General features: G+C 37.7%; 1 protein-coding gene and 1 pseudogene across 15 annotated transcripts in view; both read left to right on the top strand.

Annotated features, from left to right (window-relative positions):
- The window catches only part of ADAMTS6 (ADAM metallopeptidase with thrombospondin type 1 motif 6), a 333183-nt gene that overhangs the window by 221651 nt on the left and 96401 nt on the right, over positions 1 to 15131 (top strand). The window lies entirely within an intron of this gene.
- Positions 8489 to 9141, top strand: RPEP1 (ribulose-5-phosphate-3-epimerase pseudogene 1; annotated as a pseudogene).

The raw sequence follows: 15131 nt of genomic DNA, 5'->3' as shown, positions 1-15131 counted from the left end.
TTATTCCATTTTATGTTTGCCACTGCAAGAAGCCCCAGACTCCTACATTATCCCTCATCCAATAGATAAGATGCTGTATATTTCCTCCTCTGTTCTGTTTTGTATCCCTGCCCAACTACTGAAACTTCTTCTGTACTTTCAGGAATTCAAAACCCCTAATACTCACTTCTCTGAATTTTCCTTCCTTTCACCTTCTTACTTTAATGGAAACTAGCTCTTCCTCTGAAGATATTGCTTCTCCTATAGTCTTCAAACTGGGTAGGCTTTTGTTTTCTCTCTTAGCCCTTGAATGACTGAGCCTCAAAGTGGATTGACAATGTTTATATCTCATTACTCCTCCAGATCACTCTTCCTCCCCCTATCTAAAAACCACAGCTTTTAATTAATGTCATTAGACTGTTAACATTTTCATGCTTTCCACCTCTACTACTGTCTTAATTCTTGGTGATTTTATAAATATGCAGATGATTGTTCACTTCTGAATTTTTTTCATAAACATACAAACATTCTCCTATCTGTAAACAAACAAACCAAAAAACCATGCTAGTTATTTTCCCATTGCCTTGTTTCCCATTGAAACAAAATTTCTCAAAAGACTTGTCTGTACTTACTGAATCCATTTCCTCTCTTCACATTATTTTTTCTAGAATTGCTCCTATCAGGTTTTTGCCTTGATCATTCTATGGAAATACTCTTGTTAAGTCACAGGTGATTTCCATGCTGTTAAATCTAATAGTCAATTCTAAGTCTTCAGCTTACTACTTCACTTTCAATAGGCTTCCGGGAAACTACAACATTTTAGTTGTTCTTTTACATTAATGCTTACTCCTCTTCCTCCTTCATTGGCTCCTACTCTTTTTGTTTGTTTGTTTGTTTGTTTGTTTGTTTGTTTGAGACAGAGCCTTGTTCTGTTGGCCAGGCCAGGCTGGAGTGCAGTGGCGCCATCTTGGCTCACTGTAACCTCTGTCTCCTGGATTCAAGCAATTCTCCTGCCTTGGCCTCCCGAGTAGCTGTATTACAGGTGTGTGCCACCACACCTGGCTAATTTTATATATATATATATATACACTTTTTAGTAGAGACTGGGGTTTCACCACATTGGCCAGACTGGTCTCGAACTCCTGACCTCAGGTGATCCACCCGCCTCGGCCTCCCAAAGTGCTGGGATTACAGGTGTGAGCCATCATGCCCGGCCAGCTCCTACTACTCTTTACTCTGACCTCAATGTTAGAGTACCCAAGAGTTAGTCAGTGGCCTGTGTCTCTGCTCTACCAATACTCCTTTCTTTGGTGATCTTATCTGGTTCCATTGCTTTTGTACCATTTATTTGCCATTTGACCCAAAATTTATATCTTCAGCCTGTACTTCTTTCATGAATTCCAGGTTCATATCTTATATTTAAATAGACTTTTAATGGACATCTAATGTTTAACATGTCCAACTGTTATCCCCAAAACATTTTCTCTACTCGTTCTTCCAGCAGTTTTTCCCATCTCAGATGTAACTCCATTTGGCTTACACCAAAAATCCTGGAGTCTTTCTTGACACCTTTTTCTGTCTCATAGCTTATATCCAATTCCTCAGGAAATCCCATTAGTTTTGCCTTCAAAGTATATGGTAGGTGCTGCCTAACTTCACTACTGCTGCTCTGGTCTAAGTTACCATTATCTTTCACAGGATTACTCTAATAGCCTTTTATGAGGATTCCCCTTTGCTATCCAGTCCTCGATATAGGAGGCAGAGTGAATCAGATTATCTTTTACTCAAAACCCCTCAATGGCTCCCCATTTTACTTAAATCCAAAGTCGTTACAATGGCCTGCAAGGTCTACACAATCTGGCTTTCATTACTTCTCTGAACTCATCTCTTACTATTTTCTTTCTCGTTATCTCTGCTCCAGCAACATAGGTCCCCTTCCTTAAACATGCCTGACATGCTCCTACCTTCGGGCTTTTGCAGTGACTATTCCCTTTGCCTTGTGTACTCTTCTCCCAAAATATCTGTGTGGTTAACTCTCTCGCCTCACCTTTACTCAACTGTCACCTTTTCAATGAGACCATTCTGAGTACTGAACTTAAAATTGCAACCCTCTCCACTCCCTACAACTCTAGGACTCCTAATCTTCCTTACCCTACTCTATTTTCTGCCCTTCTATCACCTATATAGTTGATTTGTCATATTTAATTCTATTAAAATTGTATTTTGGAGTATTTTGGAATAATTACATGTAGCTTCAATTATGATGATCTTTTAGAGTTACCAGTATTATTTATTCATTTGTTTAAAAAATAATTGAATGCCTATTGTATATTAGACCATGCTTGGGTGAGAAAGACAATCTCTGCCCTCAAAGAGCTTATAAATTTATTGGGAAATCACTTAGGTACAGACAATTATAATACAGAGTGGTAAGTGATATGATGGGATTCAGTATGGGATGCTATAGAAGTGCATAGAATGGCACCTAACCTAATTAGGGACTTAAGGACTTTGTCCCACAGGAAGCTAGAGACATGAAGGGCAAATCTAAGGAGACCAGAAAAAAGTGAAAATGAGAGCATCTTAGAAGGAAAATTAAGTGCAAGGCCTAGAGGCTAAGAAGTGTGATCTTTATCTTGGGACATTTGAAACCATTGAAAGAGCCTCAGATTGATGCTTTAGATGAGAATGGATTGGTGAAAGACAAGATTACAACAGAACAATAAATCAAGAAAAACGTAAGGATATTGGTAAGAATGATTGAAGTGCTGAGCCATGGGCTCTGCGCTAGGAATAACAGTGGAGTCCAAAGAGGGCTAACAGGGAATAAATTAAGGACCTAACTTAAAAAGCCATAAAAATCAAAGAACCAGAATAGTAGGAAATACAGGGTGAGAGAGATAGAAGGTGAGGAGATCAGAGAATGAAATGTATTTGAATTAAAGATATGACAAGTGAGAATATTCTCAATGATGACAAATCTGGAGTGTGGCCATGGGAGTGTGTGCCTAACTTGACTGGAGGTAAAGGAGTTCAAAGAACTTAAGTCTTGAGAGGGGGACCTTTAACATATGGATATTAAAGTCACTCAGGATGCTACTGGAACTTAAAATATAGGGTAATACTGTGAACAGGCTATCAAACTCCTTAATAAATGAGAAAGCAAGGCACAGTGGCTCAGGCCTGTAATCCCTGCACTTTGGGAGGCTGAGGCAGGCAGATCTCTTGAGTCCAGGAGTTCAAGACCATCCTGGGCAACATGGTGAAAACTTGTCTTAAGCAAAAAAAAAAAAAAAAAAAAAAAAGAGAGAGAGAGAGAGAGAGAGAGAAAAAGTGACCCTTATTTATTAAACCAGATAGGGGTGAAGCCAGATAGTGATTTGGATGAACGGTGTGAATCTCAGAAGAATGGAAGTTTTATATAAGGGTAGAAGAACTGAATACCTATCTACAATATATCACACTTTTAGGTAGAAGTGAGAAAAAATCAAACCCACCTCTCAATTCCCAACTCATTCCATTATTATATAATTGCAGGGTTGGGCGTACATTTAGACCCTAATGATATATGTATTATATACTGTAATGTGAATAATGGTAACAGGAAAAAAATGCCAAACATCTCAGCTTGTTGCATTTTATTCATGAGTTATATGTTAGATGTTCAGATTGTAGAACTTACTATTGGTGGGTTGAGATTTCTATTACTGTCTTTGTCTTCTGTTTCATCTTTCAGCAGATTATAAGGAGATACAGTTAACATAACTATATTATGGATACATATATATTTATGTTTTCTTCATTAATATTGACTCTACTAGCTCAGAACTTGAGGCAATTCTGCTGTCATACTAAAATGTATTTTCATGCTATCCAAGTTAATAAAGTTGTCTGAATGTAATTTTGTTTAAGCTGGGGCTTGCTTTAATGTAATCTAATATATAAAAATTTACCAAATACCTAATCTACACTAGCACTGTCTAATAGAACTTTCTTCAGTGATGAAAATATTGTATGTGTGCACTGTCCAGCCCGATAGCCACTAGCCAAATTAGCTATTAAGGACTTGAAATGTTGCTAGTGCAGCTGAAGAACAGAAATTCTAAGTTTAATTAGTTTTAATTTGAACAGCCCCATGTGGCTGGTGGCAACCATATAGGACGGTACAGAGCTCGACAGTCTAGCTATGCAACAGAAAAATTCTCGTTATAAAGAAGATTGTAAATTTTATGTGTAAAATTCTCAAAACAAATCACTGTTAGCTCATAAAGGGTTCACACCTGTAATACCAATTACTCAGGAGGTTGAGGTGGGAGTATCACTTGAACCCAGGAGTCTGAGGCTGCAGTGAGCTATGATCACACCACCACACTACAGCCTGGGTGACAGTGAGACCCTGACTCAAAATAAATAAATTTTTAAAATTAAATTAAAAAATGAATAAATACATAAATAAATGTAGAGAGACTTCCATTTTTGGTCATGATAGACTAGGTTATTCTGACAAAATTTTTTTTAATTGCTCAGTAAGATTTTTTTTTTAATCATTTAAAAATTAGCAAAGAACTGACAAAATAATGAAGGGGATGCCAGGAGGTCAAATTCTATGAGAGAGGGGAACATAAAAAGATAAGTAGAGCATCCAAGCACCTAAGGTACTTCTGCCCTGATGATATTGAGAGGAAGAGAAAAGATAAACTGTTCCAGTGTTGTTTCTGAAGTATTACGAAAGTTGTCCCCGGATCTCCTCCCCTGCTCCTCAGCAAATTTTTTTCAGGTTTTCAAACATCACATGCTCTCAGCCATAAGTGGGAGCTAAGCTATGAGGATGCAAAGGCATAAGAATGATGCAATGGACTTTGAGGGCTTGGGGGAAAGGGTGGAAGGGGAGTGAGGGATAAAATACTACACACTGGGTGCAGTGTCCGCTGCAGAATCTCAGAAATCATCACTAAAGAACTTAGGCATGTAACCAAACAGCACCTGTTCACCAAAAACCTATTGAAATAAAAAAATTAAAATTAAAAAAAAATTTCTTCAAGTTTTATTTGCCAGGAGGTCACTGTGGCCACCCTTAAAGCAGCCATTGACAAAAGGAATGAGATTACCAGAATTGGTTTAGATTAATAGTGATTTGCCCTAAAATGGGGTTAGGGTCACCCCTCCTGAGAGGTAGATTCGTAAGCAAAATATCGAACTTCTATTAGCAAGAAAGCAGAGAGTAATGGATAGTGGGTACGCCACAGGTGTCTACCTCAGAGCTATTTTAATTTCTATCTTTACTAGTAGAAGTAGTAGCCACAGATGTAGTGGTAGTAGTAGGAGCAACTGCTGCTGACATTTACTGAGCACTACTATGTACCAAACATATTATTGTAATCATATTCTCTTCCCATACTGAGAGAAGTTCTCCTCCTTCTTGTCAGTAGTGAGTTGGTTTGGTGGAGTATTTTATATTTCCATTCTTTCAACATAAATCTAGAAAAACTATGATAATATAAAGTTTTGGTATAGTTTGCTCTGTTACAAACTTGCTTCTGCAACACAAATTATCTTCTATTTGATTGTTATTTTGTGATATTAAATAATATAGCAGTGGGAGTCAAACAACATCAGCATAGCTGAGGAGCAAAGGAAAATTGGACTGCACATGATGACCGTTCACCCCACATTCTATTTTTTGCTCAGTTTGGCCACGTGCAGCATCATAGGAGCCCTTATTATGTGTTTCTGCCTGTTCTTCCTACACTGGCCTCCTGTTTCTCTAACTCAACAGTCTCAACTGATAAGCTTTCCTTATTTTTTCAAGTTTTTAAAAAGATAAAATCTTACATTTACTCCAGTATTTCTTTGCTAGGAATTTGCCATGTGTTTAAAATATTGTGCTAGCATTTTATTAGAATTTTTTCTTTTTGTTTTAATGCCCTGTCTTTGAATCGTCTGCCTCTAACCCAATTTTTCCCATATGCCTGCTATTTTTAGTGTGCAATTTTGCGGAAAGAGATTTTTCATGAATGCGTGTGTCATATTAGAGCAGAAGCGTCTACATTTTAAAAATCTATTCTAACAGCTTCTATTATATAACCTATGGAATTTAATAATAAATCATAAAAGGTGAGGTGATTGGAGTTAAGACTGAGTAATGTGGCCGGGCGTGGTGGCTCGCTCCTGTAATCCCAGCACTTTGGGAGTCCAAGGTGAGCAGATCACTTGAGGTCAGGAGTTCGAGACCAGCCTGGGCAACATGGTGAAACCCCTTCTCTACAAAAAATACAAAAATTAGCTGGGCATGGTGGTGCGTGCCTGTAGTCCTAGCTACTTGGGAGGCTGAGGTGGGAGGATTGCTTGAGTGGGAGGATCACTTGAGCCCAGGAAGCGGAGGTTGCAGTGAGCCGAGATCGCATCACTGCACCCCAGGCTGGATGACAGAGTGAGATCCTGTCTCAAAAAAAAAAAAAAAAAAAAAAAAAAAAAAAAAGATTGAATATTGTAAGCAAGACTTTAGTATTTTCCAGTTAACAAAGAATAGGTGTTACTATTGGAACAGTATGGTATTATGTCTGTGTTCTTTAAATTAACTTTGATGCTTTTTCTAAATGTGTAATAGTTTAAATGTTCTTTTTTCCAGTGATGCCCAGGTGTCTGTTATGTGTGAGCCACCCCAATTTAAAGGATTTAAAAGAATATACCTTTCTTTTATCAAACCAGCTTCCTGCCTTAGTATATATTTTACATAATTTAATACTATGCATATCATGCATATTGAATGGTCTTATAAATAAGATTTGAAAGAAAACTTTCCAACTAGTTAAAATTAATTTGACAGTCAAGGACTAGATAACAATCCATAAGCGTTTTTGGCTTGGTCATTTGCGATCCCAAAACTTTTCTTGAAACTTAATTAGAAGTAATACAGTGAATAAGTTCAAATGATCCTGGAAGAATTTTCTAATCAGTGCTCAAAAAAATAAGATAATGTCAGATAGCCAAACAAGCTGGAGAACGAGAGTTCTTTATTTATTGCCATGAATCTTTGAGACTTGCTGTGTGTTTTCTAATGTATGCTCAAAGTGTAAGTTACAATAGAAAATAGAAAATTGGCTGGGTACCATGGCTCACAGCTGTAATCAATCCCAGCACTTTGGGAGGCGGAGGCGGGTGGATCGCTTGAGCCCGGGAGTTTGAGACAAGCCTGGGCAACATGGCAAGAGACCATCTCTACAAAAAATACAGAAAGTAGCTGGGCATGATGGTGCATGCCTGTAGTCCCAGCTACTTGGGAGGCTGAAATGGGAGGATCACCTGAGCCCGGGAGGTTGAGGCTACAGTAAGCTGAGAGGCTCACTACCCTCCAGCCTGGGTGACAGAGACCCTGTCTCAACAAATAAAAAATAGAAAAAAAGAAACAGAAAAGAAAATAGAAAATCCAGAATATTAGGCTGATTCAACTGTGTTTAATAGATTTTACCCGAATTCCTTTAGGACCTTGCAACCCAGTCTACATAGCCCATGTAATATAGTAGTCTTGATCCTCTCATTTCTGTGGTTGAGAAGTTGGTGCTATGGATTACTGCATGGTTCTCATGGTTTTACATATAATAATAATAATTGTTATTAGTTATAACTCTCTGGTTAGAGTTGTTAGCTTATAGCACTATATTAAAATCAAAACTAAAAAATATAATAAATTAGAAGATCAGAGGAAAAGGAAAATAATATAAATATATATAATTTAAAATATATATAAAATTGCCAGGCACAATGGCTCATGCCTGTAATCCCAGCACTTTGGGAGGCCAAGGCAGGTGGATCATGAGGTCAGGAGTTCAAGACCAGCCTGGCCAAGATGGTGGGACACCGTCTCTACTAAAAATACAAAAAATTAGCCGGGCGTGGTTGCGGGCGCCTGTGATCCCAGCTACTCGGGAGGCTGAGGCAACAGAGCGCGACTCCATCTCAAAAAAAGAAAAAAAAAAGATTGGTCACAAATTTTGCTCCGAGCGGAATTCCTAGTAACCCAAGTAAAGAGACAAATGTTATCAGTTCTAAGATTCATAATGTCTTGTGGTCATGAGAAAAGGAGATACATCCGCAACCAAAAAGGAATACTTTATTATTTTGAAGCTTTGATATTCCTCCTATGTGGATCCCTACACTGGTGAATCAGATTGAAACATACAAGGCTTATAGGACTCTTTTTTGCTTAGGTTAATGGAGAAATTAGGACCTAGAGTCAACATAGGCCAAGTAGTCTTAAAAAGTAGCAAGCACAAAAACAGTATATCTGCAGTTTCTTTCTAATGCTGATTTAATTTCTACCCCAAACACTTAAGAGGTATAGAAATGGTAGGAAGAGAAGAGAGCTCTTTGGTGGAAAGGGAACAGGGTTGCCATTAACTCCTATCCCTCTTAACCCGATTTCAAAGAAAAGATCCACAGAGATAGAAGAAGCAACTTATGAAGACAAAACTTTCATTCTAAGAATTTAAGAATAGATCAGAAAAGGATGTCAAGCTGTAAAATTGTCCTGCCCACTCTCAACAGCAACATAATTAGCCTAGATGCCGAAGGTATTCAGTTACTAGACTCTGAGGCTGATTAGTTGCATCAGGATGTGTTGGATGGGCAGTTGGTTTCCTGCATCACTGTTTTTCACCCTAGAAAGTCTTCAAAAGCAGCTACACAAGGACCCTTTCTTTGATATACACATTATGGTCTCCAGGCTGGAATAACAGGTAAAGACAATAGCTGCAGTAGGAACAAATTAATACACTTTTCATCTTGAAGCTACTGAGAAACCAGGAGCATTTATTAAAGATATATAGGAGAACTGGATAAAATTTGGTCCTTCTATTAAGCCAGGAACTACAATAGAGTTTTTGGCATCATGAGCTAATCTAATAGACATGGCCTTCTGGAACCTGGGTTTGGAGGGCAGAATTTTATGGAACTCATAATGCTTGAGAGTTCATTGACTGACACAGTTCTCGTTTTTGCACATAGAGATAAATGGTTGATTAGGTCCTGACAGTTTTTATAAATATGCAAAGGTAGAAACTAACATGATTTTCTGGCAGAGCCATTATGAAAAGTGAAGACCCCAGATCTGTGCTCAATCTTCTGAAAAATGTTTGCTTAGGAGCTGCTCAAAAATATACTTTTAATTATTATGTATATGGAATCTTCTTTTTACTGGCCTAAAGAACACTGACTACTAATCAGGCATTTCTGTTTTTCTGAACAATTTTTCATTCAAATGACCTAAAACTATCATGCAGAATGTTCTAAGAGGATACAAATTGATGTACATATTGTAACTATTTTAAGTAGCAGAAGTTAAAGGTTAGTGTTGTGAATACTAGAAAACTTACTTTTTGTAAAGAGTAAAAATATGGCTATATAAAGGTTATAAACCAAATTTCATATCAAAGCCTAAAGAAGAAATATTAGCTACTATGAAAAGGACTTTTCCATATTTCTAAAAGGAGTTTCCTGGTGCTTAGTTGTTTTCCAAAAACAAAATGATCTTTGTATTTTTCTTATTCCATATTACTTGTGATTTGGTGTTTACTTGATAATATGATTATGATAGAACTTCTGGTGAAACATATAAGCTCCACTTTGGCTGGGATGGAAAGGCACATTATTCTTGCATATTAAACATTTGATTTCCCTTCTTTATGCATAAAAGCTATAAAAATATATGGAGGAAAAGGGTTTTCCAGGTCATCTGTGGTCTGTTCTAAGATTTAAGTATAGGTTATGTAGTACTTGGGTGTGTTCTCAGTCAGCTCTGCTAGAGGAGTATATTATTCAGCAATTTTTTTCCTTTTCAATGCATTGCCTAAGATCATTAAACAGTGTTTTTGCTTTGGTTGTGGCAGACAGGAAAATTATATATTTGGAAGTAGGATTGTGGTGAAAATAAAAGCATGCAGTTGGAAGTTAAATTAACTTGAGTGTGAATCCTGACTGTGACACATGTTGCTATTTGACCTTGGCAAATCACCTAACCTCTCTAAATTTCTGTTGACTCTTATATAAATAGGCTGTATGAAACTTGCAGAGTTGTTTGACAATTAAAAGAAGTAACATACATAAAACATCTAGTGCTATTCCTAGTACCTAACTGGTATTCAATACCTCATCAAATCTTCAAATCACTTTTCTGAAGAGGAAAGACAAGTATTTTTAAAAAGAGGAAACTAAAGCTTAGCAACAGGCTAATGCTGTGAAAGAGATCCAGTAAAGCATGGAATTTCTATCTAGTGCTCTTAAAAGAGATGAAGCCCTTGGGAGGTGGGTGTGGCAAGGTAAGCTTTTCTGAAAGAATTGGGTCACCTTAGACATTGTCTTACTTCCAGTCTAACCTCACCAGATAGCTAGCTGAGAACCAGATAGCTGAGAACATTCTGAAACTACACATCTTGCCCTCAGGGAGAGTTGCAGGGTAAGTGAAGACAAGGTACAGAGTTGATCCATTGATGAACAGTGTTATAATCATGTCTTAAATTATAATTAGAAAACAAATATGTGTCAACCACTTTATTCTTATAAACATACTTTATATATGTTACTGGTAGAAGGTATGCGAGTTACCAGTGGTGAATTCCTATGGGTCTGCAGCAACCTCAATTCTTGCCTCCTCAGAAGAAAGAATACAACTGAGGGGCATAAGGCAGAAAAAGAGACTGAGGCAAGTTTCAGAGCTGGAGCAGAAGTTTATTTAGTTTATTTAAAAGGCTTTAGAACAGGAAAGAAAGGAAACGATGCTTGGAAGAGACTGCACCAAGGTCAAGTGCAGTGTTTAACCTTCATCCTAGAACTTAATAGGCTGGCCCCTTTCTCATGATTCTTCCCTTAGGGTGGGCTGCCCACATATGCAGTACACTCCTGCCCTTGGGAGGTGAGCATTCCCAATGTGTTTAGGAAGTTGTACGCATTTTCATCTGAAGCTTTTCTTCCTTTTTCTGGTGGAGTGACCCTGGAAGGTCATACTCCACCATTTTGTCTCTTAATGTGCATGCCCAGGAAGTTGCTTCTCCCCAGCACGTGCATTCAGTTAACACTTTAGTGCAACAGGTGTGGACCATCAGGAAATGGCCTCTCCCTGGCACCAGCTGCCAGTTTATCACTTTTAGAGAGGCAATATAATAATTGCCAAACTGTCACCTGACATTCCTAGTGGGTGGAGGAGAGCCCTTTCCTACCCTGCTCATGCCTATCTAACTACCTGTAACATACACACAGACAGACATGCGCGCACACACACACACACGGCAAAAAACAGGAACAATATCTTGGTAATCTTTCTTAATATGAATTTTATGGTGTATTTATATATTTATGATGTATTGTATATATATTTATGGTATATTGTATTTATTATGTTTTGAGAAATAAGGACTAGGTTTTTAGCACAAAATAGAGCTTGTTTGTTTATTTTGTGCTTTAAAAATACTTTTAAAAATTACAAAGTAAAACTTTGTTTCTTAACCTTTTTTTGGAGACAGTCAGGCTCTGTTGCCCAGGCTGGAGTGCAGTGGTATGATCTGGACTCACTGCAACCTCTGCCACCCAGGCTCAAGCAATCCTCTCACCTCAACCTCCCAAGTAGCTGGAACTACAGGCATGCACCACCATAATTTTTGTATTTTTTGTAGGGTTTTGCCATGTTGTCCAGGCTGGTCTCAAACTCCTGAACTCGAGCGATCCACCCTGCCTTGGCTTCTCAAAGTGCTGGGATTACAGGAGTGAGCCATTATGCCTGACCTGTTTTTTAATGTGTTTATAAGCTCAGGGAAAGAGTTTTGCTGTAGGTAGATGGCATTTTAATTAAATTCAGACTATTTAAGGCATATACAAGTAACTTTAATTTTTAAAACCTGCATAGAAGATTATAGTATCAAGCATGACACTACATTCAAGTTTGTCTGGACAATGTGGGTTATCTGCCCTTGTTTTCTTTTGCTTTAAAAGTAAATATATAGTGAAAAAAAATCAGAAACTATTTGGGAGAAAAAAGAGAAGAAAGTTGAATAAAAACTGAGGTTGAGATGCTTCACTACAGGCATTGACCACTAAATTTAACTGTATTTGAATGCCCTAGTATGAATTACTTTATCAGTACTATCTGATAACTAGGGAGTCAGGAAATTTGTTTGCAACTTTTAAAAGAGGGTATAGAAGCAAGGCTTTTGTTAGCGCATATGGTACCTTTGTGTAATTTATAAAAAGATGCCCATCTGGGTGAACACATAAAAATGTATCCTTTCACAGTGCCTTGTCAAGTGCATGACTTGCTAAGCATGGCAGGGGTTGGATTTCAAACTCCCTCAACAAACAGGGGGCAATCTACTAAGAATATGTTGTTTTCCTGTAGAGGAAGAAGAAAATGAAATTTTGGAAGTGTTGAAGGTTGATCTAGTGTAACAGGGATGACGCAAGAGTGAATTTGGTATGAAAGCAAAAGGAAGAAGCAGAAGGTGCAAAAGGAGTAGAGAAAGGAAGCAGATGAACAGAAGACCAGTTTTGCTCAGTTTGCAATTTTCCCTGAGGCCATAGGAGTCATTCTATCCTTCCAGCCTGCATATCTTCCTTTAGAGGAGGAGAGGAAAGGAAAGGGAAAGGGACAAAGGCGTTTTCATTCTTGGCTGTCTTATCATATTACCAATAAGAAATGATACATCATTTTCAGAATTTTCCTCATTTTCAAGACATTTTGATGTGTATTTCTCTTGAAGGTAAGAGTTTTGGGGGTATATTTTGCAAATGAAAAAAAGGCACAAAAAGGATTGGGGACTTGCCAACGTCACCCTATTCTTTGGGACAAAACCAGGATTAGAACCCCAGTAATAGAAATGCCACTAAAAAGTTTGTAAGCAGAAGCTAGATTTCTTTCTGTAGCAACTTTTAGGCCTCAATGAATTATTCCTTTTTTTAGATTTGTCTACCAGTACAAAGTATTGAGTTTAGTCAGAAGGAGATACTTCTAAACAAGATAGTTGGAAGACTATTGTTAACTTATACAGATCTCTGGGAAAGAGAGTGGTGATAAAGATGCTATTATTAATTTATTTCTTTGAAAATACTAAGATCTAAAGATGCTGAGACCTGCAGCTTTGCTCTCCAGATTTATGTGGGGCCCTGCTAGTTTGTTTTTTAAAGGAGAAGACGCTTGGTGAGTGTTAGCACTAGAAGGCTGAAAATCTGTCAGGCTTTTACTTTAAATATCTGTTGCTTATGCCCACTGCTTTCTGTTATGGTTTCTGCATAGTGTCAGCATTTATTATCCTTAAGTAATTTAAAAAGCATTATTCTTTAAACCCTCTACTATTCCTAAACAAAACAAAAATGTGTTTTACGTAATTTTTCCTTAAGGAATTCCTCTTTCACTCTCATTTTTTCAAACCAGCATATATAATTCCAACTGAGTCTATTTTTAATCAACGCAAATTCAGAGCATTCCCTGATGGAATGAAATCAGGAAAGCAGAATATTGGCTGATGTATTCTAGAAACAATGGCGTGGAATCAAGTCCCCAAGTCTACTTCAATTCCCTGAAGCCTTTCCATTCTCTATACTATTCTGTGAACACCCTGAATACACTCCTGCCTCAGGGCCTTTGGATTTACTGTGTTCTGGAAGATTCTTTTCACAGATATGTACATAAATCATTCCTTCAGTTCCTTTTCACTCTCCACTTGAATGCCACCTTATCAGAGAGGATTTCTTTGATCATACTGTTTAAAAAAACTTCCCTCCCACCTCACTGTCAATCTCCTTATCTTGCTTTATTTTTCTTCTTTCTCATCTCCAACTAGAGTAAACTCCACGAAAGCAGAACTCTAATCTATTTGGGTTTTGTTTTTCTGTAACCCTGCAGCCTAGATTATATCTGCCAGCTATTAAGCATTGTATTAATACTTGCTAAAATGAGAAGATACTTAAGGCCTGTCCTTGCTGCCTTGTTTTAAGAGGACTAACAGTAAGTTATGATGTGCCCGTAGGAAAGCCATCAAGGTCCAGATACCTTTCAGTTTAGGGTAAGATTTGTTCAGTGTGGATCCAGAAGAAAGGAGAAGGATAATTGGGTTATAGGACAGCAGGTTTTGACTGAAAGTAAGGAAGAACCTGCGAATAATTGCAGCTGTTTGAAAAGTGTTTGATCTTTTTTTCTGTAGATGTTTATATAGATTGTATGACCGCTTTGGAGATAATTATAGAGGAAATCCAAGCATCTTATGCAAATTAGATTATGTCACTTCTAACCTGAATTCTTAAAAGGTATGATTCTATATTGACTGAGAAATTAATAATTGAGTTTGGTTCTGTGAAATGCTGCCAAACAAATATATCTATATTATGTTAACACCCTATACCGGGGTTGACAAATTGTACCTCTCAGGCCAAATCTTATTGGTTAACTCTTTTTGTAAGTATTTTTATTGGAACACAACCATGGCCATTTATTTACATATTGTCTGTGGCTTCTCTCACACTATAATGCACAGTTGAGTAGTTGCAACAGAGACACATGGCCTGCAAAGCCTAAAATATTTACTATGTGGACCTTTAGAGGTAAAGTTTGACAACTTCTGCCCTAAAGCGAAAAAATATTATGTGGAAACCTATCTTTATTCAGTTTTCCAAGTAGTTCATGATGATGATGATGATGATAACTGTTGTATCAATTAAAATTTAGCTATAATATAATAGACCACTCTGACTATTAAAATAGAGGGAATTTAATGCAGGAAATTGATTACATGGATGATGAGAGTCTGACTAGTTCCTTCCAGGAAGATACATAAGAGGTAGTTTTGTCAGAGCCCAGAGGCTAGAATCACACAGCAGAAGCTGGAATCATAGGGTAGAAGGGTAGGGAGGATGGAACTGTTACCTGAAGATGGAGCTACAAAAAAGATTCTTCTTCTGCCTGAGTTGCTGCCCAAGGCACAGAGGAAAGGAGAAAAATACCCTGGCTTCTCCAACTAGTGCCTCCCATTACCTGAACCCAACCATAAGTCAGCTGACAAAAAAGCCTGGGAAGTGGAGCTTTCAGGGTTTGTTCCCCTAAAATATAGAGCAGAGTAGAAGAGTAAGGAATGAGTGTAAGGACACCTGCGTAGCTGCTAATAATTATTAAGTGC

Source organism: Homo sapiens, chromosome 5 (genome assembly GCF_000001405.40).
Source record: "Homo sapiens chromosome 5, GRCh38.p14 Primary Assembly".
Taxonomy (NCBI): domain Eukaryota; kingdom Metazoa; phylum Chordata; class Mammalia; order Primates; family Hominidae; genus Homo; species Homo sapiens.
Note: the sequence above shows the minus strand (reverse complement) of the source record. Positions and strands in the feature narration are given on the sequence as shown.